Source organism: Homo sapiens, chromosome 12 (genome assembly GCF_000001405.40).
Source record: "Homo sapiens chromosome 12, GRCh38.p14 Primary Assembly".
In the NCBI taxonomy this organism is placed as follows: Eukaryota; Metazoa; Chordata; class Mammalia; order Primates; family Hominidae; genus Homo; species Homo sapiens.
The window spans coordinates 42,227,919-42,253,391 of record NC_000012.12 but is presented as its reverse complement, the minus strand read 5'-3'; the positions used below and the strand labels follow the sequence as shown (position 1 = coordinate 42,253,391).

The 25,473-nt window shown below is 43.3% G+C and overlaps 1 protein-coding gene and 1 long non-coding RNA gene across 20 annotated transcripts in view, besides 7 other annotated features; one reads left to right on the top strand and one right to left on the bottom strand.

Annotated features, from left to right (window-relative positions):
- Positions 1 to 14,113: 14,113 nt before the first annotated feature.
- LOC124902920 (uncharacterized) lies at positions 14,114 to 14,947 on the bottom strand. Its single transcript, XR_007063279.1, has 2 exons — positions 14,665 to 14,947; positions 14,114 to 14,255 (listed from the first exon to the last, which is right to left on the bottom strand). It is a non-coding gene; the product is annotated as an uncharacterized LOC124902920 (long non-coding RNA).
- Positions 14,399 to 14,538: a silencer, noted in NCBI's record as "silent region_4363". NCBI's record gives its function as "represses an Ori minimal core promoter by ATAC-STARR-seq in GM12878 lymphoblastoid cells {active_cell/tissue: GM12878}" and the evidence as "EXISTENCE:reporter gene assay evidence [ECO:0000049][PMID:35858748]".
- Positions 14,729 to 14,968: a silencer, noted in NCBI's record as "silent region_4362". NCBI's record gives its function as "represses an Ori minimal core promoter by ATAC-STARR-seq in GM12878 lymphoblastoid cells {active_cell/tissue: GM12878}" and the evidence as "EXISTENCE:reporter gene assay evidence [ECO:0000049][PMID:35858748]".
- Positions 15,019 to 15,398: a silencer, noted in NCBI's record as "silent region_4361". NCBI's record gives its function as "represses an Ori minimal core promoter by ATAC-STARR-seq in GM12878 lymphoblastoid cells {active_cell/tissue: GM12878}" and the evidence as "EXISTENCE:reporter gene assay evidence [ECO:0000049][PMID:35858748]".
- Positions 15,144 to 25,473, top strand: part of YAF2 (YY1 associated factor 2) — an 81,145-nt gene continuing 70,815 nt past the window's right edge. For 9 of the 19 annotated variants that reach the window (NR_135139.2, NR_135140.2, XR_944467.4 and 6 more), the window contains exons 1-2: positions 15,144 to 15,237; positions 15,668 to 15,793. Coding sequence is in view for 11 of the 19 variants with exons in the window: in NM_005748.6 (NP_005739.2) it covers positions 15,212 to 15,237; positions 15,668 to 15,793 (152 nt within the window). In the remaining 8 variants the exon portion in view is untranslated. Of the gene's footprint in view, positions 15,238 to 15,656; positions 15,794 to 15,821; positions 15,977 to 17,394; positions 22,171 to 25,473 lie in introns of those variants that run through there. The other 10 variants (XR_007063026.1, XR_001748538.2, XR_001748537.2 and 7 more) reach the window with 6 other exon arrangements.
- Positions 15,352 to 15,853: an enhancer, noted in NCBI's record as "H3K27ac hESC enhancer chr12:42631341-42631842 (GRCh37/hg19 assembly coordinates)". NCBI's record gives its function as "activates a minimal SCP1, AML or CMV promoter by ChIP-STARR-seq in naive H9 embryonic stem cells {active_cell/tissue: H9 hESC(naive)}" and the evidence as "EXISTENCE:reporter gene assay evidence [ECO:0000049][PMID:30033119]".
- Positions 15,352 to 16,018: a biological region, named in NCBI's record as "H3K27ac hESC enhancer GRCh37_chr12:42631341-42631842".
- Positions 15,499 to 15,568: a silencer, noted in NCBI's record as "silent region_4360". NCBI's record gives its function as "represses an Ori minimal core promoter by ATAC-STARR-seq in GM12878 lymphoblastoid cells {active_cell/tissue: GM12878}" and the evidence as "EXISTENCE:reporter gene assay evidence [ECO:0000049][PMID:35858748]".
- Positions 15,689 to 16,018: a silencer, noted in NCBI's record as "silent region_4359". NCBI's record gives its function as "represses an Ori minimal core promoter by ATAC-STARR-seq in GM12878 lymphoblastoid cells {active_cell/tissue: GM12878}" and the evidence as "EXISTENCE:reporter gene assay evidence [ECO:0000049][PMID:35858748]".

Below are 25,473 nucleotides of genomic sequence, written 5' to 3'. Positions count from 1 at the left end.
AACACCACAAAGATACTCATCGAGAAGAGGAACCCCAAGACACATAATTGTCAGATTCACCAAGGTTGAAATGAAGGAAAAAATGTTAAGGGCAGCCAGAGAGAAACGTCAGGTTACCCACAAAGGGAAGCCCATCAGACTAACAGCGGATCTCTCAGCAGAAACCCTACAAGCCAGGAGAGAGCAGGGGCCAATATTCAACATTCTTAAAGAAAAGAATTTTTAACCCAGAATTTCATATCCAGCCAAACTAAGCTGAAGGAGAAATAAAATCCTTTACAGACAAGCAAATGCTGAGAGATTTTGTCAACACCTGGCCTGCCTTACAAGAACTCCTGAAGGAAGCACAAAACATGGAAAGGAACAACCAGTACCAGCCACTGCAAAAACATGCCAAATTGTAAAGACCATCAATAATATGAAGAAACTGCATCAATTAATGGGCAAAATAACCAGCTAACATCATAATGACAGGATCAAATTCACACATAACAATATAACCTTAAATGTAAATGGGCTAAATGCCCAAATTAAAAGACACAGACTGGCAAATTGGATAAAGAGTCAAGACCCATTGGTGTGCTGTATTCAGGAGACCCATCTCACATGCAAAGACACACGTAGGTTCAAAATAAAGGGATGGAGGAAGATCTACCAAGCAAATGGAAAGCAAAAAAAAGCAGGGGTTGCAATCCTAGTTTCTGATAAACTAACAAAGATCAAAAGAGACAAAGAAGGCCATTACATAATGGTAAAGGGATCAATTCAACAAGAAGAGCTAACTATCCTAAATATATATGCACCCAATACAGGAGCACACAGATTCATAAAGCAAGTCTTTAGAGAACTACAAAGAGACTTAGACTCCCAAACAATAATAATGGGAGACTTTAACATCCCACTGTCAATATTAGACAGATCAATGAGACAGAAGGTTAACAAGGATGTCCAGGACTTGAACTCAACTCTGGACCAAGCAGACCTAATAGACATCTACAGAACTCTCCACCCCAAATCAAGAGAATATACATTTTTCTCAGCACCACATCACACTTATTTTAAAATTGACCATATAATTGGAAGTAAAACACTCAGCAAATGCAAAAGAACAGAAATCACAACAAACTGTCTCTCAGACCACAGTGCAATCAAATTAGAACTCAGGATTAAGAAACTCACTCAAAACCACACAACTACATGGAAACTGAACAATCTGCTCCTGAATGACTATTGGGTGAATAACTAAATGAAGGAAGAAATAAAGAAGTTCTTTGAAACCAATGAGAACAAAGACACAATGTACTAGAATCTCTGGGACACATTTAAAGCAGTGTGTAGAGGGAAATTTATAGCACTAAATGCCCACAAGAGAAAGCAGGAAAGATCTAAAATCAACACCCTAACATCACAATTAAAAGAACTAGAGAAGCAAGAGCAAATAAATTCAAAAGCTAGCAGAAGGCAAGAAATAACTAAGATCAGAGCAGAACTGAAGGAGATAGAGACACAAAAAAACCTTCAAAAAATCAATGAATCCAGGAGCTGTTTTTTTTTAAATCAACAAGATAGACAGCTAGCAAGACTAATAAAGAAGAAACGAGAGAAGAATCAAATAGATGCAATAAAAATGATAAAGGGGATATCACCACCGATCCCACAGAAATACACTACCATCAGAGAATACTATTAAAAACTCTATGCAAATAAACTAGAAAATCTAGAAGGAATGGATAAATTCCTGGACACATACACCCTCCCAAGACTAAACCAGGAAGAAGTTGAATCTCTGAGTAGACCAATAACAGGTTCTGAAATTGAGGCAATATTTAATAGCCTACCAACCAAAAAAAGTCCAGGACAAGACAGATGCACAGCTGAATTCTACCAGAGGTACAAAGAGGAGCTGGTACCATTCCTTCTGAAACAATTACAATCAACAGAAAAAGAGGGAATCCTCCCTAACTCATTTTATGAGGCCAGCATCATCCTGATACCAAAGCCTGGCAGAGACACAACAAAAAAAGAGAATTTTAGGCCAATATCCCTGATGAACATCAATGTGAAAATCCTCAATAAAATACTGCCAAACCAAATCCAGCAGCACATCAAAAAGCTTATCCACCATGATCAAGTGGGCTTCATCCCTGGGATGCAAGGCTGGTTCAACATATGCAAATCAATTAACAAAATCCATCACTTAAACAGAACCAATGACGAAAACCAAATGATTATCTCAATAGATGCAGAAAAGGCCTTTGACAAAATTCAACAACCCTTCATGCTAAAAACTCTCAATAAACCACGTATTGATGGAACGTATCTCAAAATAATAAGAACTATTTATGACAGACCCACAGCCAATATCATACTGAATGGGCAAAAACTGAAAGCATTCCCTTTGAAACCCAGCACAAGACAAGGATGCCCTCTCTCACCACTCCTATTCAATATAGTGTTGGAAGATCTGGTCAGGGAAATCAGGCAAGAGAAAGAAATAAAGGGTATTCAATTAGGAAAAGAGGAAGTCAAATTGTCTCTGTTTGCAGATGACATGATTGTATATTTAGAAAACCCCATCGTCTCAGCCCAAAATCTCCTTAAGCTGCTAAGCAACTTCAGCAAAGTCTCAGGATACAAACTCAACGTGCAAAAATCACAAGCATTCCTATACACCAATAACAGACAAACAGAGAGCCAAATCATGAGTGAACTCCCATTCACAATTACTGCAAAGAGAATAAAATACCTAGGAATTCAACTTACAAGGGATGTGAAGGGCCTCTTTAAGGTGAACTACAAACCACTGCTCAATGAAATAAAAGAGGACACAAACAAATGGAAGAACATTCCATGCTCTTGGTTAGAAGAATCAATATCATGAAAATGGCCATACTGCCCAAGGTAATTTATAGATTCAATGTCATCCCCATCAAGCTACCAATGGCTTTCTTCACAGAATTGGAAAAAACTACTTTAAAGTTCATATGGAACCAAAAAAAGAGCCCACATAGCCAAGACAATCCTAAGCAAAAAGAAAAAAGCTAGAGGCATCATGCTACCTGACTTCAAACTGTACTACAAGGCTTCAGTAACCAAAACAGCATGCTACTGGTACCAAAACAGATATATAGACCAATGGAACAGAACAGAGTCCTCGGAAATAACACCACACATCTATAATCATCTGATATTTGACAAACCTGACAAAAACAAACACCGGGGAATGGATTTCCTATTTAATAAATGGTGCTGGGAAAACTGGCTAGCCATATGTAGAAAGCTGAAACTGGATCCCTTCCTTACACCTTATATAAAAATTAACTCAAGATGGATTAAATACTTAAATGTAAGACCTAAAACCATAAAAACCCTAGAAGAAAACCTAGGCAATACCATTCAAGACACAGGCATGGGCAAGGACTTCATGACTAAAACACCAAAAGCAATGGCAAAAAAAAGCCAAAATAGACAAATGGGATCTAATTAAACTAAAGAGCTTCTGTACAGCAAAAGAAACTATCATCAGAGTGAACAGGCAACCTACAGAATGGGAGAAAATTTTTGCAACCTACTCATCTGACAAAGGGCTAATATCCAGAATCTACAAAGAACTTAAACAAATTTACAAGAAAAAAACAAGCAACCCCATCAAAAAGTAGGCAAAGGATATGAAAAGACACTTCTCAAAAGAAAACATTTATGCAGCCAACAGACATATGAAAAAATGCTCATCATCACTGATCATCAAAGAAATGCAAATCAAAATCACAATGAGACACCATCTCATGCCAGTTAGAATGGTGATCATTATCACGAAACAACAGATGCTGGAGAGGATATGGAGAAATAGGAACACTTTTACACTGCTGGTAGGAGTGTAAATTAGTTCAACCATTGTGGAAGATAGTGTGGTGATTCCTCAAGGATCTAGAACTAGAAATACCATTTGACCCAGCCATCCCATTACTGGGTATATACCCAAAGGACTATAAATCATGCTGCTATAAAGACACATGCACACGTATGTTTATTGTGTCACTATTCAGAATAGCAAAGACTTGGAACCAACCCAAATGTCCATCAATGATAGACTGGATTAAGAAAATGTGGCACATATACACCGTGGAATACTATGCAGCCATAAAAAAGGATGAGTTCATGTTCTTTGCAGGGACATGGATGAAACTGGAAACCATAATTCTCAGCAAACTATCACAAGGACAGAAAACCAAACACCGTATGTTCTCACTCATAAGTGGAAGTTGAACAATGAGAACACATGGACACAGGGAGGGGAACATCACACACCAGGGCCTGTAAGGGGGTGGGGAGCTGGGGGAGGGATAGCATTAGGAGAAATACCTAATGTAAATGAAGAGTTGGTGCAGCAAACCAACATGGCACATGTATACCTATGTAACAAACCTGCAGGTTATGCACATGTATCCCAGAACTTAAAGTATATACATAAAAAAGAGAGAGATGGAAATGGGAGTGGCTTTTCTCACTATTATGCCTATTTGCAGAAATTTTGCTTTCCATCCCCATAACATTGCACTTTACTAACCTGAAGGTCTTGATTCCCAGAGTAGAAATGCTTTCACAAAAGGCCACAACAATTGAACTGGACGATGAAATTGACACTTGGATATGTAGTACTCCTCATGCCATCAAACTAAAGATAAATAAGGACATTGCTATATTGGATGGGGAGACTGAACCAGATTCAAGGCAAAATTGGGTTACTGATATGCTGCAAGGATAAAAATGACTATGTCAGAGAAATGCAAATCAAACCCACAATGAGATACCATCTCATGCCATTCAGAATGGCAATTATTAAAAAGTCCAGAAATAACAGATGCTGGTGAGGTTCCGGAGAAGAAGGAATGCTTTTACACCGTTGGTGGGAGTGTAAATTAGTTTAACCATTGCAGAAGACAGTGTGGCAATTCCTCAAAGATCTAGAGGCAGAAATATCATTTGACCCAGCCATCCCATTACTGGGTATATACCCAAAGGCATATAAATCATTATATTATAAAGATACATGCATGCTTATGTTCATGGCAGCACTACTCACAATAGCAAAGACATGGAATCAACCCAAATGCCCACCAAGGATAGACTAGAGAAAGAATATGTGGTACATATATGCCATGGAATACTATGTGCCATAAAAAGGAACGAGATCATATCCTTTGCAGGGACATGGTTGGTTCTAGAAGCTGTTATTGTCAGCAAACTAATGCTGGAACAGAAAACCAAACACCTATGTTCTCACTTGTAAGTGGGAGCTGAATGATAATAACACATGGACACAGGGAGGGGAACAACACACACTGGGGCCTGTTGGAGTGGGGATTACTGGGCAGGAGAGCATCAGGAACAATAACAAATAGATGCTGGACTTAATACCAAGGTGATCTGAGCAGGAAACCACCATGGCACACATCTACTTATGTAGCAAACCTGCATACCCTGCACATGTACCCTGGAACTTAAAATAAAAGCTGAAGGGAAAAAAATCACTATGTCTTCAGCCTAGGGTATTCTTCAGAGAACCTCTTAGTACTTCAATGTCCAATAGTAAAAGGTAATGAAGACTTCAGTAACCAAACCAAGTCAGGACTACTGAGCATTTAGACACTTCAGGAATGAAGGTTTAGGTCACCTCATCAGGTAAAGAACTCAGCGTTGCTAAGGGCTTGACTAAGTAAGGAGTAACAAGGAATGGTTAGTGGGTCACAGTTATAACTAACAACCGTGGTCCCATGACTGGTTACAGAAAGGAGGACGTAGCAGCTACATATATTTTCTTCATTGTTTATGTGTGTGCATGTATGTGTGTGCATTTGTATGAACTATTTTATTCTTCCTCTTTTTCCTTTTATTACTTAATACAAGTTTTGTTGGAGGTTAAACTATAACGTTTAGTATTTCAGTAACAGAAAACCAGCTAAGACTGTGGGTGAATTTAAGGAGTTATTAAAATAGTGTGGAGATGGACGGTGTGATTGCCTGCCACAGTGGATATAATGACTGCTGGGGCATAGTGTCTCCTCATTTTAGGGGAGGATGAGAATGTCTTTGTATATGGGATAGTTGCATCTAGGGGAATGGTAGAAATGTCTCATTGTATAGAAGTTTAAATATGTATAGAAAAGTTTGTGTAATGCTGAGTGGTCAAAGAGGTCATCATCTCTCAGCCCCACCCCACCCTCCATGCTACACTCGGCTTTGTGATGGGAGCTAGTACTCCGCTAATACTCTGGGACCCCATTTCCACTTTGTTCTCTTACTCAGCCAAGGGGTACCAGCAGGAGGCTGCACAGCTAGAGAAAAAAGGAACTTGCTTTTTTTTTTTTTCTGAGATGGAGTCTCGCTCAGCTTTCCAGGCTGGAGTGCAGTGCAGTGGTGTGATCTCGGCTCACTGCAACCACCGTCTCCCAGGTTCAAGCGATTCTCCTATCTCAGCCTCCCGAGTAGCTGGGATTACAGGCACCCACCACCATGCCTGGCTAATTTTTGTATTTTAGTAGAGACAGGGTTTCACCATGTTGGCCAGACTGGTCTTGAACTCCTGACCTCAGGTGATCCACCCTCCTTGGCCTCCCAAAGTGCTGGGATTGCAAGCATGAGCCACTGCACCTGGCTGGGACTTGCTTTTCTTCTGTTTGCTTCTTGTTGGCTTTTTGTTGGTGTCCAGTCCTCTCCCTGCTCCTCCAAGCATCGCTCCAGCAGCAGCAGTTCCTTTCTTTGGCAGAGGCAGAATCCACTTTACACTTTTCCCGGTACTTGCAGAACCAGCTGAATAAGACCTTGTCAGAGACACCAGCATCAGTGGGCCACAGTGCTGCCCTTTCAGAGGTGTGGGGTAAAGTCTTGAAACAATGTCTCCCAATTCCCTGTTCAAGGTTGTCCTTCATTAATGAATCTTATGTTCCCATCACACTAATTCCTGGATTTGGGAAAGGGGGATGAGAGTCAATGTGTAGACAGGAGAGGCTACTTTGAATCTAGTGCTGGGCTGGTTTGGAGTAAAGAGGAAATGCAGGAGGAATGGGGCGCTGGTTGGTGGCGCCATTAGTTAAGGTGAGACCATGGGATAACATAGAGAGCTATCAGAAAGGCGCGGTAAAAATGGAGGGAAGGGTACAATATAGGGGGACAGAGGAGAAGAGCAAGGAAGGAACAAAAGGCTAGAGGCAAATGGTAAAAAACAGACAATACTGTGCTGAAATGAAGTTGAGAGACTGGGCCAGGCATACTGGCTCATGCATCTAAATCCTAGCACTTTGGGAGGCTGAGGTGAGTGGATCACTTGGGCTTAGGAGTTTGAGACCAGCCTGGGAAACATGGTGAAACCCCGTCTTTACCAAAAGTACAAAAATTAGCCGGGAGTGGTGGCGTGCACCTGTGGTCCCAGCTACGTGGGAGGCTGAGGTGGGAGGATTGGTGGAGCCTGGGAAGTTAGGGCTGCAGTGAGGCATGATTGTGCCACTGCACTCCAGCCTGGGTGACAGAGCAAGACCCTGTCTCAATTAAAAAAAAAAAAAAAGGCTAGGTGCGGTGGCTCAGGCCTGTAATCCCAGCACTTTGGGAGGCCGAGGTGGGTGGATCACCTGAGGTCAGGAGTTCAAGACCAGCCTGACCAACATGATGAAACCCTGTCTCTACTAAAAATACAAAAAATTAGCCGGGCCTGGTGGCGGGCGCCTGTAATCCCAGCTACTTGGGACGCTGAGGCAGGAGAATTGCTTGAACCCAGTAGGCGGAGGTTGCAGTGAACTGAGATCACACCATTGCACTCCAGCCTGGGCAACAAGAGCAAAACTCCGTCTTAAAAAAAAAAAAAAAGGAAAAAGAAACAAGAAATTGAAAGACTGACAAGCCACCATTAATATTTAGGTGTGTCTCCTTATAATGTTTTCTATGCTTTTTATATACTTATTCAATTTTAGATTCTGCCTTTTTCACTTGATGTTACAACATAAGCATTGTCTCTTGTTACAAATTATTCATCAACATTGTTTTTAATGACTTCTTAAAATCCAGTTCTTTGGTTAGATCATATTTTATTTAACTATTTCTCTTCAGATGACCATGCAGGTTGTTTTCAATGTATATTAAAATAATTTCATGGCTATTTCTGTGAAAAACTTTTCATGCATTTCAGGTTGTATCCTTAGGATATATTCCTCAAAGTAGAATTACTGTGTCAAATAATGTGGATATTTTAAATCTTAATCTTTGTAATCTTAATTCTTACTCAAATTCTTACAGATCCATAATCCTTTGTCCATAATCCCATACTCCAAGAAGAACTGAAAATTGAAAGCTTTTTTTTTTTTTGAGATGGAGTCTCGCTCTGTCACCCAGGCTGGAGTGCAGTGGTGCAGTCTCGGCTCACTGCAAGCCCCGCCTCCCGGGTTCATGCCATTCTCCTGCCTCAGCCTCCCGAGTAGCTGGGACTACAGGTGCCCGCCACCACGCCCGGCTAATTTTTTTGTATTTTTAGTAGAAACGGGGTTTCACTGTGTTAGCCAGGATGGTCTCGATCTCCTGACCTCGTGATCCGCCCGCCTCGGCCTCCCAAAGTGCTGGGAATTACAGGCGTGAGCCACCGCGTCTGGCCTGAAAGCTTTATATTTTACCTGACCTTTTATCATTTAGCAGCAAAACCTGAGTAGAACTGATGTGAGATGATTTATAGACATTAATTTTCCCACTTAGTATGAATATTTATGTTTTTCAGAAATATTAGTGTGTTTGATTAAGAGGCACTATCTCAGAACCCACTCAGAGTGTTGGGTAATTATGTAGTATTTGTGTCAACTGCCTTTTGAAAATTCCCAAATGCCTTACTTACAAAACATATCCAGCTTTAAGGGTTTCAGATAAGGATTGTGAACCTGTACCAGGAGTGTTATAACAAGGCACTGGATATGTTAATTCATATATATATATATTTGCTGAACTTGACACCAGTATTATGGGCTGAACTGTGGCTTTCCCTCCCCCAAAATTCGTATGTTAATGTCCTAACCCCCCAGTATCTTAGAATGTGACTGTATTTGGAGTCTTTAAAGATGTGATTAAATTAAAATGTGGTCATTAGGATAGCCCTAATGCAATAACTAGTATCCTTATAAGAAGGGAAGGTTAGGACACAGACACACACAGAGAGAAGACTACTTGAGACAGAGCAAGTCATCTACAAGCCAAGGAGTGAGGCCTCAGAAGAAATCACCCTACCGACATCTGTTTTTTTTTTTTGTTTTTTTTTTTTTATGGAGTCTTGCTCTGTCACTCAGGCTGGAGTGCAGTGGTGTGATCTCAGCTCACTGCAAGTTCCGCCTCCTACGTTCACGCCATTCTCCTGCCTCAGCCTCCCAAATAACTGGGACTACAGGCGCCTGCCACCACATCTGGCTAATTTTTTTTGTATTTTTAGTAGAGACGAGGTTTCACCGTGTTAGCCAGGATGGTCTCGATCTCCTGACCTCATGATCTGCCTGCCTTAGCCTCCCAAAGTGCTGGGATTACAGGTGTGAACCACTGTGCCTGGCCCCCTGCTGACATCTTGACCACAGACTTCTAACTTTCAGAACTGTGAGCAAATAAATTTCTGTTGTTTATACCACCCAGTCTGCAGTACTTTGTTATGGCACCCTAAAAAACGAATAATGTACAACTGGTGACATATAACTTTTATAACTAACAAAATTAGATACCAGTCAACCAAACAAAAACCACAAAATCCATCTTTCAAAATGTGATTGGTTTTACCACTGTAGCTTACTATTATACTTTGAGCTCCTGCTCTCAGGGAAGGTTTACAGCTCATTTCTCCCTTAGGTACCCCATTTTCTCTCAAATTCCAATTAATAAACAAGATGGTACTTCTCATTTCAGGTATTAGCTCCTGTTGCCTAATAACTATATACAACATCAATACGTAGTTTTTATTGTTTTTATTATGTTTGGCTAATAAACTCAAGACTAACCAGAAGATCTAGGGTCTCTGAGATCCTGCTGTCAGTCTCCTTTTTTTATTTTTAATTTTTTGAGACAGGGTCTCACTCTGTTGCCCAGGCTGCAGTGCGGTGGCACTATCATAGCTCACTGCAGCCTCGACCTTCCGGGCTCAAATGATCCTCCCACCTTAGCCTCCCAAGTAGCTGGGACTACAGACATGCACCACCACACCAGGCTAATTTTTTTTTATTTTTAGTAGAAATGAAGTTTTGCTATGTTGCCCAGGCTGGTCTTGAACTCCTGAGCTCAAGAGACCCTCCTGCCTTGGCCTCTGAAAGTGCTGGGATTATAGGTGTGAACCACTGCACCTCGCCCACACTGTCAGTCTCTTGATCTACGACAGACTCTCAATCTTTTTATTCATCTCCAGAAAGAACAGATTACTGTTCACGTGTAAACAGGATCACATGCACAATTTCAGTACCTACTCCAGTCTCTCCTAGGAAGCATATTGGAATGGAAACGGATATTATTATATCAATAGCCTAGGGATTACTTTAATTTTAATTTATTTATTTTATAGAGACATAGTCCCCACCATGTTGCCTAGGCTGGAGTGCAGTGTCTATTCACAGGCATGATCCCACAGCTGATCAGCATGGGAGTTTTTTGTTTCTGTTTTTCAGACAGAGTCATACTCTGTCATTCAGGCTGGAGTGCAATGGCGCAATCTCAGCTCACTGCAACCTCTGCCTCCCAGGTTCAAGCAATTCTCCCTGCCTCAGCCTCCCGAGTAGCTGGGATTACAGGCACGTGCCACCACGCCTGGATAATTTTTGTATTTTTTAGTAGAGATGGGGTTTCGCCATGTTGGCCAGGCTAGTCTTGAACTCCTGACCTCAGGTGATCCGCCTGCCTCAGCCTCCCAAAGTGCTGGGATTACAGGTGTAAGCTACTGCGCCCAGCGCTGCACGGGAGTTTTGACCTGCTCAGTTTCTGACTTGGGCCAGTTCACCCCTCCTTAGGCAACCTGGTGGCCCCTCACTCTTGGGAAGTCACCATATTGATGGCGAACTTAGTGCAGACACTCGAATAGTATAGCACACTACAGCCCACAGCTCCTGGGTTCAAGTGATCCTTCCTGCCTCAGCTCTCAGCTTCCTCAGTAACTGGGGAAAGTAAAGATTGCTTTACTTTTTTTTTTTTTTTTTTTTTTTTTTTGTGAGACAGAGCCTCATTCTGTCACCCAGGATAGAGTGCAGTGGTGTGATCTTGGCTCACTGCAACCTCTGCTTCCTGGATTCAAGTGATCCTCCCACCTCAGCCTCCCAAGTAGCTGGGACTACAGGTGCATGCCACCACACCCGGCTAATTTTTGTATTTTTTGTAGAGACAGGGTTTCCCCATATGGCCCAGGCTATTGTTGAACTCCTGAGCTCAAGATATCTGCCCACCTCGGCCTCCCAAAGTATTGGGATTACAGGCATGAGCCACTGGTCTGCCCTCATTTACCTTTTAAACATTAAGGTAAGGCCAGGCACAGTGGCTCATGCCTGGAATCCCAACACTTCAGGAGGCTGAGGCAGGAGAATCGCTGGAGCCCAGGAGTTCAAGGCTTTAGTGACCTATGATCACACCACTGTACTACAGCCCAGGCACTAGAGTGAGACTCTCTCACACACACACACAAAAACAAAAAAACAAACAAACACACAAAAAAACAAACAAACAACAAAAAAAGTAAATCATCAGAAAACTTCAACACTTGTTAAATTGTTAAAACGATCGTTAGTGTTTGTCACTTTACAAGTGACCGTAATGAATTAACATTTCTAAAGTACTGAACTCTGTTACTGTATTGAAAAGACACCTGATTGGGTAAGAACCTGGGCCACTTTAGTAATAAAAAGATCTGTTTTCTCCACAACAGCCACTCTTACAGCTAGTAAACACTTTAGGAAAGGTGTGACTTTTTGTGGTGAAATGGGAGGAGTACCTCCTGTACTACTGTCTCCACGTAAGCCTAGTAGGGGCAGAGATTTTTTTTTAAGAGAAACACCCATAAATGGGAGGCAGTTGGTATAGTGCAAGGGCATATGATTCTGTGCTCCACAAAAACTAGGTTCCTGGTTCATCGACAAGGATGTGTGGAGTTGTAAAGTTCATTTTGAAGGATAAATGTTAATTCTGGCATTTATTGACCATCCACTGCATGCAATATGCCTAACAGTTTGTAAATCCCAATATGAAAGAAAAAAATCTCATTCAACAATTGTAACACAAGTGAATGTATTGATTATTTAGTTTAGAAACAGGGTCTTGGCTTTGTTGCTCAGGCTGGTCTGGAACTCCGGGGCCCAAGTTATCTTCCTGCCTCAGCCTCCCAAGTAGCTGGGAATACAGGCGCGCGCTAACCTGACTATAAGTGGATGTATTTATTCTCAGAATATTTATTGAGTGCCCACTATGTGTCACACTGTTCTAGGGGCTGGAGATGCAGCAATAAAGGCAACAAAAGTTATTGTGCTTTTTGTTCATGATTCAGAGGTGCGGCTTACTTTTTAGTGAGGGAGGTTACAATCTAGTGAAATGGTGATTTGCAGCATGGGGGATTTTTAGAGTGCTTGATTTAGTTTCCTTTTTATTTAAAAATACATTGTTGCCATCACTTTTGCAAGTAGAGCAGTTCTTGTCAGTCTATTTGAGGATCCATCCAGTTGAGGCATTTAAAAACATCACAATGCCTTAGACTTGCAAGGGACCTTAGTTGTGATAATAGTTTTAACTCCTTTATTTTACATATGAAAAAAACTTAGCTGAGTTTACCCACTGCATTACTGAGAGGTTAAAGACTAGGCCTTAAATCTGGTTCTCTTGTATACGTGCCTCAATCATACTCCTCATGGTTCCTGGTTTCCGAATTTGGGTCTGAATCATGAGAAGCTACATTTGCAAAAAGTACAGATGGTACAACGAGTTTAGAGACTGCTATGTAAATGGAGTGATTTGGTTAATCAGAAAGAAGATGCGGTGAAAGACCAATAGGATACCTGAGCTCTAACCCTGGCCTGCTCATCAAAGAAAAACCATTTAACCTGGGCCCTAATTGCCTTGTCTTTAAAAAGAAGGGCTAGACTACGGATTTACAATGGCTCGACTTACGATTTTTCTACTTTACGATGGATTTATCGGTGTACCAAATGCATTTTCAATTTACAATATTTTCTATTTAAGGTGGATTTATCGGGAAGTATCCCCTTTCTAAATCGAAGAGCATCTGCAGTCGATGAGGCCATGTGCATAGTACTTTGAGTCCTTTAAAATATGCATCTATGCGCAGGGATTTACAAAGTGCCTGGCACATAGTGCTCAAAAAAATGTTATTTATTTATTTACTTAGAGGCGGAGTCTCGCTCTGTCGCCCAAGCTCGAGTGCAGTGGCACGATCTCGGCTCACAGCAACCTCTCACTCTCGGATTCCAGCGATTCTCCTACCTCAGCCTCCCGAGTAGCTGAGATTACAGGCGCCCGCCACCACAGCTGGCTAATTTTTGTATTTTTTAATAGAGATGGGGTTTCGCCACGTTGGCCAGGCTGGTCTTGTGAACTCCTGACCTCAGGTGATCCGCCCGCCTCGGCCTCCCAAAGTGCTGGGATTACATGCGTGAGCGACCGCAACCGGCCAAAAAATGTTATTATTAATCGCACAACAATCTCATATAGATGCAATTCAGAATATGAAAACGTTGAGAATTACAGAAATTAAGCAATACTTCCAAGGTCTATCAGCTAAGAAACAGGAGAAGCAGGCTGAGAATCCTGGGCTTCTGACTGTATTATTTCCTATGTAGTTTAGCTATAAAATTATTTTACATGAATTCGGACTTGATGTAAACCTAGAAAGATGGACAGAAACAGCACAGTTAAAGAGGGATATACTTTATGCAGAAGTAACCCATGTGCATGAAGGAAGGGTTCTGGTAAGGGAATGAATTTCATCTGCACTCTTTGTCAGGAGGCAGCTTTCCTTATGGGAGAGGGAGGCAGAGGTAGGGAAAATGTGTGAAGCCTTTGAATGCCAGGCTAAGGAGTGTGGGCAAGTCGTTAGTGGTTCTTTATCAGAGTGGTGGCATAGTATTAACAGCATTTTATTATTAATCTGGTTGTGGATTACTGAATACATTGGGGAGGTAGAAGTGGAGCTTCGGAGACCAGTTAGATGGCTGTTGCTGGAGTCTGGAGTATGAGGACCTTTAGTATGTTGACGTAGAGACCTGGGAAGGTGTTCTTTTGTTAGCAGACAGCGTTGAGGGGACATGCAAACTCCTTATATTTAAAAAGGACTTATGAGTATATAGGGGTTTCTTTCAAAAGCAGCTACTGCAGAGGCCTGAGAGGCCAAAAGGGCGCGTTTGGAATTAAAACAGAGTTAGACTCTTGGCTTTGTCATTTTCTAATTATATAGCCTAGAGGAAGTCACCTAATCTCTCTTGAGTCTTGATTTCAATTCCTCTAAGTTAGGGTTGACAATCCCTACTTGTTAGAGCATCTGTGTGCATAAACCAGACAGTGCTTTAAGGCATGTAGCAATGGCGCTGCGTGTTGGTTCCCGCCTTCCCCCCGGTATACTGCAGGCGGGGGCTGGGTAGCTAAGGACAGCGGAGGCCAGGAAAGTCGTTCTACCTGGAGATCCCGGGCTGGCACTTCTGTCCAGACCTGGACAGGCCTCCGAACGCCGGCCGGCCCTACCTTGGACCAGGCTTCGCACGGGATGACGGAGCATCCCCTGCCAGTCGGTGGGACAGACGTTTTCCTCCTCAGAGGGGCTCTGGAGCGCGAGGCAGTCCCCGGCAGCCGGGGGTACCAAGGGGGCAACGGGGGAACAGCGCGGAGAGGCGGCGCCGGCGCCCGAGGCAGCCGCGGCCACCGCGGCCACCCCCGCACCGCCCGCCGGCTAACTCGCCGCGGGTGCTGGGCCGCGCTGGCCGCGTTTGAAGTCTCCGGCGCGGCTGCTGGTTGGCCGGCGAGGGTCACGTGCGCCCAGGCAGGAGTTTCCCCGACAGCTGGAGGCTGCGTGGGATCCGGCGGCGGCTCCCGAGCGCGGCGGTGCGGCCTTCCCCGCCCCCTCCCTCCCTCCTCCCCCGCCCGCTTCCGCCCGGCTTATTATCCTCCTTATTGACAAACAGAGCGGTCGCGGCGGCGACTCTCGGCGTGCGGTGATAGCCAAGCCATGGGAGACAAGAAGAGCCCCACCAGGTAACAGCGCCCGGGCCCCGGGGCCCGGACTGTGCGGGCGGCAGGGCCCTCGTGCAGGGCTTCGGGTGGCCGCCTCGCTAGCCGCCCGGGCACCGGGGCGAGCACGGGGGCAGCGCCGCTGGTGTGCGAGTGCTGCCGCTTGAGGGGGCCGGCGCCGGCCGCCCCACAATGGAGCCGCGATGGCGGCGGCGACCGGAGCGGCCGCCCGGGTGTCAGAGCGGCTGTGGCGGCGGCGACTGCGGCCGCGCTCGCGCCCTGCCTCTTCCTGACTCCCTTCCCCCTCAGCCGGAGCGCGGCGCGCCGAGGGCCCGCGGGGCGGGGGTCGCAGAATTGGGGCGGGGGGCGGGGCGGGGGCGGCCGCGGGGCCCGGGCACCGGGCGCGGCCTGCTGGTGACCCCGCGCCGCGTCGTGTCCGGGTTGTGTCCTGCAGGCCGAAGCGGCAGCCGAAGCCGTCCTCGGATGAGGGTTACTGGGACTGTAGCGTCTGCACCTTCCGGAACAGCGCCGAGGCCTTCAAGTGCATGATGTGCGATGTGCGGAAGGGCACCTCCACCCGGTGAGTCCCGGGCCTGCCCCTCGCGCCGCCGGCCGGCGGGGTGGCGACCAGAGGACGCCCTTGCGGCTGCCGCCCCCTCCCATGACACTGGCGGACCCGGCGGGAGGAGGCAGACGGAGGTGGCTGTGGCGATAGGAACTGGGTCACATTGATCGCAACCCAGGCGATGGTTTGCGGTGAGGGGTAATTGAAGAGGCTGTAACGTTTTTTGCTGCCAAGAGAGAATAAATTATTTAAGGGAGGCATTAGCTACTGCGATTTAATTCGTATCGCTGGGTGTAATGCCCCTCTCCCCATTCTGGGTATAAAAATGTTGGCTGCATTGTTGTGTTAGTGTGTGGGGATCAAGGAAAACCCATAAAATCTCTTTAGGAGCAAAGGATGTAATTTAATTTCGTTCCTAAAGAAAGAAAAGTATCTGATTGCAGAATACACAATATATTAAAACTTATTTTTCTACATGTACTTCTGGAAGGGTCAGATCAAGGTTTTATTTAGTGTTTTTATTCCAGTACTCTAATATTTTATAAATAAGTAGTTGGAGATGAGCCCAGTCACAGGAACAGATTTTTACTGAAAGTACCTTTATATCTTTAGTTTGATTAAATGGCAGTCTCTTAGACAAATGAGATGAAAAGATCTCTGCCTATTTTCAGACTTTATTTATTGTAAGCTTGCAGTATAATAACTCTGTCTTTTAAAAAATGACTTTGAATTAAGTGAATAAAGAAAATCATCCAGGAAATTCAGTCAGTGGCATTCTTAATCTGTCAGCACTTAGTTATCGAGCTCCTTGATTCTTATACGAAGGTACCCTTTGAATTAAATATAATCCTGTGATTTATTACTTAATATTTAGAGAAGATATGTATTTTGATATTACAAAGTCCATTAGAAACTAAACTATAACAATAAGCATACTAATCTTACTGTTGCTTTAAAAAAGAAGGCACATGTAATATTGACATATACAAATATTCAGTAGACGTTAGATTTCTAAAAAATGAGATCTTGATTTTTTAAAAAACACTTTACAGAATTTTATTAAGTTTAAAATTTAGAGACAGGAATGGTTGACAGTAACTTATCTGAAAAATTTCTCAGTGAAGCTCGCTGGTTTTGACATGCTTGTTTTTTGTAAATCATCATATGCTTTTTGTATATTCCCACAATTGATAAAATATTTCGTACATTTTTCATATTCAAAAAGCAAACTTTCAAACGTATGCTAAATTTAAGGGATTACAACAGAACATTCCAAAAAGAAAAAAAGTATTTGCTAAAATGATTGTGGTTACTATTTTTGGACCCGTGATTTGTGATTTAAGTATTTTGAAAAGCAGAGTATCTTCTTGGCTGTGTAAGGTTGGAGTTGGTTTAGAGTATATTTGTGTATCTGTGTTAGTACTTTGTGCTTTTTAAAATGCTCAATAAGCAATTTTTAGAAAATTCGTTTTTTGGAGGCAGGAACATTAAAGTGGAAACAATTATAATCTTGATCTCTGGTACTATATATTATTGCTTTTTGTTGTTCCCTCTCTATTTTCTTGTAGCCATTAGAAAAATACTGAAACTAGAAGAGCCTATATGTTTATTTGCAGGGACAGCAAGGAAGGGGGGAAGCTGGTGTCCTACTCCACAGCCAGTCTTGGGGTTAGAGGAACCCTGAGAAATAGAGTAGGTGGTGGCAGCTCAGAAGAGAAGAAACAGGCTGAATACCTGGCACCTGGAAGAAGAAGGAATATAGTACACAGGGGAGTTGGCCCAGGACAGAGAAGTGGGCCTAGTTTAAAAGAGGCTTGAGGCCCACATGGGGGCCCCTGACATTTTTTTTTTTTACCAGTACATCTAAGCTCTTGTAGATCCAATTTTTAGTGGTGGAAACATTACTTGAGGAGGACTCAGAGAAGCATTGTCATTTGGATTGAAACTGAAGAGGCTCTGGGCAACTCACCAGAAATCTAAGGGACACTGTGTTCCTGAAAGTAAGTGTTCTACACCACGACCCTCTCAGCTTCTTCCTTCCTCTCTCTGAATTCTCTTCTCTTTTGATTTTGGCTCTAAGTTAAACCTAAGAGCTCTAATTTCTCTGTTATCTGTTATTTTCCTAGTGGTTTCTGAAATTCAGGGTAGAATCTGTGTTTGTATAGAACAGTGTGGAACAGGGTATTGTTACTAGAGAAGATATTGATTGCATCACAGAATATTAATATTTTTCCTCTCTGGTAATGTTAAAAAAACAAGATTAAAGGACTGCAGAACGGTGTTGAGAAGCAAAAGTTTCAGTAGTTGGAAGAAATAATTCTCCATAATTGACTTATTAATGAACAGGGTAATTTCCAGAGTAAGGTTGGCAAGTACTAAAGCCAAGACTGGATAGCTGCAGAGCAGAAGGATGCAGTTTGCTAATGATTTGTTTGTGTGACGCACAGATGGGATTTGAATCCTTTGGGTCAGACTGACCTTTGAACTGATTCTGCCTCATTGCCAAATGTTAGGCCAAGTCTAAGCCATTCTAGACATTTGAAAAACTTTTTTCTTTTTAGACCTGCAGAGAAGATTGAGTCCTTGTTCTACCTTTGAAGTCTTCTTTTTTTCTTTTTTCTTTTTTGAGATAAGATCTCATTCTGTTGCCCAGGCTGGGTTGCAGTGGCATCATCCAGGCTCACTGCAGCCTCGAACTCCCAGGTTCAAGGAATCCTCCCACCTCAGCCTCCCAAGTAGCTGAAACTACAGATGCACACCACCATGTGTGGCTAATTTTCTTATTTTTTGTAGAGATGGGGGATCTCTATGTTGCCTAGGCTAGTCTCAAACTCTTGAGCTCAAGTGATCCTCCTACCTTGGCCTCCCAAAGAACTGGGATTATAGGAATGAGCCACCATTCGGCCCCTTTAAAGTCTTTATTGGCAATATAATTTTTTTTCTTTAAATAATATTAAGTTCAAATTCTTTATGCAACAGAAGCCCATTTCCTTTGGCTATATCCATGGTAGGTCATGTCTTTCTAGAGAACGAAGTTACATTCATGGCATGTATTTCAAAATAAAATGATTTGTTGTAGCTTCAGTTCCTCAAGTTTTAATTTTATTTTAGATTTTGGGGTACATGTGCATGTTTGTTACTTGGGTATATTGCAGAGTGGTGGGATTGGGATTCCAGTGTACCCATTACCCAAATGGTGAACGTTATACCCAACAGGTCATTTTTCAGCCCCTCACTCCAAAATTTTTTACATTGTGCTTTTGTGAGAGAAACAGTAGTAAATGTCAAACTGACAGGAAATTTTTTAAAAGGAAACAAAATGCCACGGTGACACATTATTTTCAAGATGCTGCACAGTCTTTATATCTGAAGTTTCTTTTCTTTCTTTTCTTTTCTTTTCTTTTCTTTTCTTTTCTTTTCTCTTTTTTTTTTTGAGGCAGAATTTGAGACAGTCTTGCTCTGTCGCCCAGGCTGGAGTACAGTGGCGTGACCTCGGCTCACTGCAACCTCCACCTCCCAGGTTCAAGCAATTCTCATGCCTCAGCCTCTGTGGTAGCTGGGATTACAGGTGCCCGCCACCACACCAGGCTAATTTTTGTATTTTTAGTAGAGATGGGGTTTCACTATGCTGGCCAGGCTGGTCTCAAACTCCTGACCTCAGGTGATCCGTCTGCGTCGGCTTCCCAAAGTGCTGGGATTACAGGAGTGAGACACTGTGCCCAGCCTATCTGAAGATTCTTATAAGGCAAGAAATGTCCCAAATATAAATGCAAGAAACTTTAGGAAATTAAGGATCATTCTTGGCTGGCCCAGTGGCCCACACCTGTAAGCCCAGCACCTTGGGAGGCTGAGACAGGAGGATTTCTTGAGGCCAGGAGTTTGAGACCAACCTGGGCAACACAGTGAGATCTCGTCTCTACTAAAAATTAAAAAAATTAGCTGGGTGTGGTGGTGCATGCCTGTGGTCCCAGCTACTCAGGAGGCTGAAGTGGGAGGATCCCTTGAGCCCCAGAGTTCGAGGTTGCAGTGAGCTGTGATCATACCACTGCACTCCAGCCTGGGCAACAGAGTGAGACCTTGTCTCAAAAAAACAAAATTCTGAGTCATCAGAGAAAATGAAATATTAAATATTAAGGATAGTCTGTATGAGGGTGATAATCAATGTGTGATGATTAATTTAAGACTGGTGTCTTATTGGTACTTCATCTAGTAGTGGACAGTTACTTAATATTGCTTAATTCAGATAGCAAATATTTAGAAATGAAAATGATAGAATTATTGGTTTGGGTTTCAAACTGTGGTCTAAATGGTTCATACCAGGCTTTCAAATGTAACAGGTAATGTTACATTTTGTTAGAGGATATTATAACAGTCCTTTAGGTTTCTCATAGGTGTTATTTTAGAGAGCTATAAAAAAGATTTCACATAGTAGAAAGAGTGCTAGATGTTACACTAGTATGATTTTGGTAACCTGGGTTCATATCTCATTTCATATCAACCATTTCAATATTCAGCATTCAGCAAATGTTTATTGAGCATCTTATTTAAGGGCTGAGTTGGATACTAGACATACAGTGGTGAGCAAAATGGATTTTTTTGTTTCTTTAAAATTTTACAGTTTTGCAAATTAGAACCGCTTTAACTGTACCAAGCTCTATATGTGAGGTTTAGTGTTAGTAGATCTTTCCTTTATGTGTAGGCTGAAGAGGTGGAACTTCTTCATTAAAAATATATGTTGTTTATAACTGAACACAGTATTATTATTATGGTTAGGTAAAAAGAGTGAGTTATTTCAGCTTCTTTTAAAAGTAAGCTATAAAATCCACATTCTGAAAGAAGCTTAAACCAACTATCATCTGGTAGAAATCTTTTCAGCATCGTTGTTTTCTTGTCATACTTGCTTTATGTCTTCAAATTTGAGGTTTGGCACTGATTCTTCTAGACTTTTGGTGTAGGAATGGGAGAAAAAAATTGAGGACCATCTACATAAGTCCTTTTTAAAGAAATGCATGGTTCCTGAGCCGCCTCCTGTCTATCTGAGGAGCCTTTCTAGCAACCATTTAGTTGTTCAGAGACTCCTTATTCTAGGAGATTTCTTACTTGTTTGTTTTTTGTCCTGTAAGAGGACTCACACTGGTTAATTGTATATGGGTAAATTTTACAAGTGATTATTAGTGTTTGTGTAGTCTGGATATCAGAGTGGTTTTCAAAGTGTAGTCTGAGGGACACTGAGAGTCCCTGAGATCTTTTTAGTTGAAGCTTTCTATGAGGTTCACACTGTTTTTATAATAATTTGAAGATGTTATTTGCCTTTTTCACTGTGATGGTGCAGAGGCAGTGATGGGTAAAACTGCCAGCACCTTAGCATGAATCAAAGCAGTGGCACCAAATTGCTATCTTCATTGTAATATTCACCACCATGTACATGCATGCAGTAAGAATAATGTCAGTTTGAATTAAGAATATCCTTGAAGCAGAAAAATTTACTAATTTTATTACATCTCATATTTTTAAAAATATTCTGTCTGACCAAATGGGAACTACACATAAAGCACTTCTACTGTATACCAAAGTACAGTGGTTAAGGGAAAGCACATGTGTAGTTTGTCTTGCAAGCAGAGCTAGTCTTTTTGTCATAGAGCATCATTTTTACTTGAAAGACTACCTGAAATACCATAGTTATTCAGACTTGGATATTTAGCATATATTTTCTTGAAAATGAATATATTCAAAAAATATATCACTTCAAGGAAAACACTTGATACTATATGTTGCCAGTGATAATCATTCAAGTGAAAATTAGAATTTTTGAAAATTTGTAGCAACAATGAGCTTTAGAGTTTCTGTGTATAAAGACTTTTCTGAGAAGATTAGTGGTGGTATCAATGAATATAATTTCTGATATTTCACCATGAAATGTGTCAGCATTTGGAAGCTACGCATAACTCAGCAAACAAATGGTTCCTAGTTACCGATGTATGATTTTACAAAACTGTAATGGGTAATCCATCAAAGTACAAAATACCAACAGATTTTAAGGGAACACTGAAAACTTCATTGATGTGGTTTCAGATTTCATATTGCAACTAACCTTTGAGAAACAACTGTGTTTTTATGTAGTATCAAAGAATAACACCTATAGTTATCTGAAAATGCTATTCAACTACTTACCTCTTTTCAACTGTATATCTGTGAGAGTCCAGATTTTCTTAATATTTTTGGACCAAAACAACATATTGCAACAAATTGAATGCTGAGATAGATGTGACAATCCAGGTGTCTTCTACTAACCAGATGTTAGAGGTTTGCAAAAATATACGATGCCACTCTTCATACAAAATATCTTTGTTTTGGAAAATAATAAGTTTTTAAAATAAAAATATGTCATTTAATATGTGATGTATTTATTTTTTAAATGAACTAATATATTTAGATTTTTATCAGTTTTTATTTCTAATATAGTAAACATTGATAGATGACCCACATTAAGAAAAACAAAAAACAAAAACTCTTAAATTTTAAGAGTGTAAATGATCCTAAGACCAAAAAGTTTGTGAACTGCTGGTCTAGAGTTTATTGGCTTGGGTTTCTACATGCAATGGCTTTACTTCAGCAGGTATTCTTTTTATTTCCTTTATAGTGTGAGGCCTGATAACTAATATCCTAGTTGTTTAACTCAGTGGCCCAATCTCACTCATCTGTTGATGTCGCCTCCAAAGTATTTGATGTTCTTGGCCCTTTTTAAATTGAAACTCTACTTCCTTCATGTCTCTAAGACTCCTTTTTCATAGATTTCTGTGTATATCTCTGAAACCCATTTCTGCCTCCCCAAACTTGGCATCTGTATATTCTTTACTTTGTATGTGGCATAAACTCCTTTCTGGAACCTCAGCTAGAAACTGTCATTGTCTCAGCTTTGATTCTAATTTGTAGTCCTCCTTCATGTCCTTTCTCTGGATTGTCTCTTAAATCTATCCTTTTTCCTTTTATGTAGTTACAGTTCAGAAGCCCATATCACTTCTGTCATGAACTATTGGACAAATTGGTCTCTCCTTTGGAATGCTACTAACATGATCTTCATTATCTTTTTTGAAACCTATGTGATTATGTTGGTCCCTGTATATTTAAAAAAAAAATTGAGTCCTATTAGTGGCTGCTGAATAAAGGCTGAGATCCTTAGGATAGTGTTCAAGGCCATAATAATAATCTATCCCTAAACTACCTTCCTAGCTTCATTTCCTGCTGCTTATCCCAATCCTGTGCTGTGTCAGCACTGAATTATTTTTATCATATGGTACTTTTTCTTTCTCTTTCTTTCTTTCTTCTCTTTCTTCTCTTTCTTCTCTTTCTTTTCTTTCTTGAAGGAGTCTTGCTCTGTCGCCAGGCTGGAGTGCAGTAGCGCGATCTTGGCTCACTGCAATCTCCGCCTCCCAGATTTGAGCGATTCTCCTGCCTCAGCCTCCTGAGTAGCTGGGATTACAGACGTGTGCCACCATACCTAGCTAATTTTTTTATTTTTAGTAGAGACAGGGTTTCACCATGTTGGCCAGGATGGTCTCCATCTCCTGACCTCGTGATCCGCCTGCCTCAGCCTCCCAAAATGCTGTGATTGCAGGCGTAAGCCACCATATGGTACTTTTCAAAGAAGCCCTCTAGGATTACCATCCCTCCACCCCTTGGTATCATATTGATTCTATGTATGTAGAGTCAGTCATGCACTCCATAATGACATTTTTGGTGAGTGGGGGACCACATATACAGTCCCATAAAATGATACTATATTTTTACTCTACTTTTTCTATGTTTAGATACAAATACTTACCATGGTGTTACAATTACCTGCAACATTCAGTATAGTAACATCCTGTACACCTGTAGCTTCAGAGCAATAGGCTCTACCATATAGCCTAGGTATGTAGTAGGCTGTACCATCTAGGTTTGTATAAATACATTCTATGATGTTCTGACAATGAAATCACCTAACGATGCATTTTTCAGAACATATCCGTCATTAAATGATGCATGGCTGTATGTATATGTAATTATTCCTGGAGAATAAATATATTGTAGTATAATTGTCTAGACACTTATCTGCCCTACAGGGCAGAGACCGTCTTATTCACTTTGGTATTCCCAGAAGCTAATAAAATACCTGAAGTATTGTAGATATTTAAATGTTTTTTTTTTTTTTTAATTTATTTTTTTATTGATAATTCTTGGGTGTTTCTCACAGAGGGGGATTTGGCAGGGTCATGGGACAATAGTGGAGGGAAGGTCAGCAGATAAACAAGTGAACAAAGGTCTCTGGTTTTCCTAGGCAGAGGACCCTGCGGCCTTCCGCAGTGTTTGTGTCCCTGATTACTTGAGATTAGGGATTGGTGATGACTCTTAACGAGCATGCTGCCTTCAAGCATCTGTTTAACAAAGCACATCTTGCACCGCCCTTAATCCATTTAACCCTGAGTGGACACAGCACATGTTTCAGAGAGCACAGGGTTGGGGGTAAGGTCACAGATCAACAGGATCCCAAGGCAGAGGAATTTTTCTTAGTGCAGAACAAAATGAAAAGTCTCCCATGTCTACTTCTTTCTACACAGACACGGCAACCATCCGATTTCTCAATCTTTTCCCCACCTTTCCCGCCTTTCTATTCCACAAAGCCGCCATTGTCATCATGGCCCGTTCTCAATGAGCTGTTGGGCACACCTCCCAGACGGGGTGGTGGCCGGGCAGAGGGGCTCCTCACTTCCCAGTAGGGGTGGCCGGGCAGAGGCGCCCCTCACCTCCCGGACGGGGCGGCTGGCCGGGCGGGGGGCTGACCCCCCAACCTCCCTCCCGGACGGGGCGGCTGGCCGGGCAGAGGGGCTCCTCACTTCCCAGTAGGGGCGGCCGGGCAGAGGCGCCCCTCACCTCCCGGACGGGGCGGCTGGCCGGGCAGGGGGGCTGACCCCCCCCCCACCTCCCTCCCGGACGGGGCGGCTGGCCGGGCGGGGGGCTGACACCCCCACCTCCCTCCCTGACGGGGCGGCTGGCCGGGCAGAGGGGCTCCTCACTTCCCAGTAGGGGCGGCCGGGCAGAGGCACCCCTCACCTCCCGGACGGGGCGGCTGGCCAGGCGGGGGGGCTGACCCCCCCCCCCCACCTCCCTCCCGGACGGGGCGGCTGGCCAGGCGGGGGGCTGACCCCCCCACCTCCCTCCCGGACGGGGCGGCTGGCCGGGCAGAGAGGCTCCTCACTTCCCAGTAGGGGCGGCCGGGCAGAGGCGCCCCTCACCTCCCGGATGGGGTGGCTGGCCGGGCAGGGGGGCTGACCCCCCCCCACCTCCCTCCCGGACGGGGCGGCTGGCGCGGGCGGGGGGCCGACACCCCCACCTCCCTCCAGGACGGGGCGGCTGGCCGGGCGGGGGGCCGACCCCCCCACCTCCCTCCCGGACGGGGCGGCTGGCCGGGCGGGGGGCCGACCCCCCCCACCTCCCTCCCGGACGGGGCGGCTGGCCGGGCAGAGGGGCTCCTCACTTCCCAGTAGGGGCGGCTGGGCAGAGGCGCCCCTCACCTCCCAGACGGGGCGGCTGGCCGGGCGGAGGGCTGACCCCCCACCTCCCTCCTGGACGGGGCGGCTGGCCAGGCGGGGGGCTGACCCCCCCACCTCCCTCCCGGACAGGGTGGCTGGCTGGGCTGAGGGGCTCCTCACTTCCCA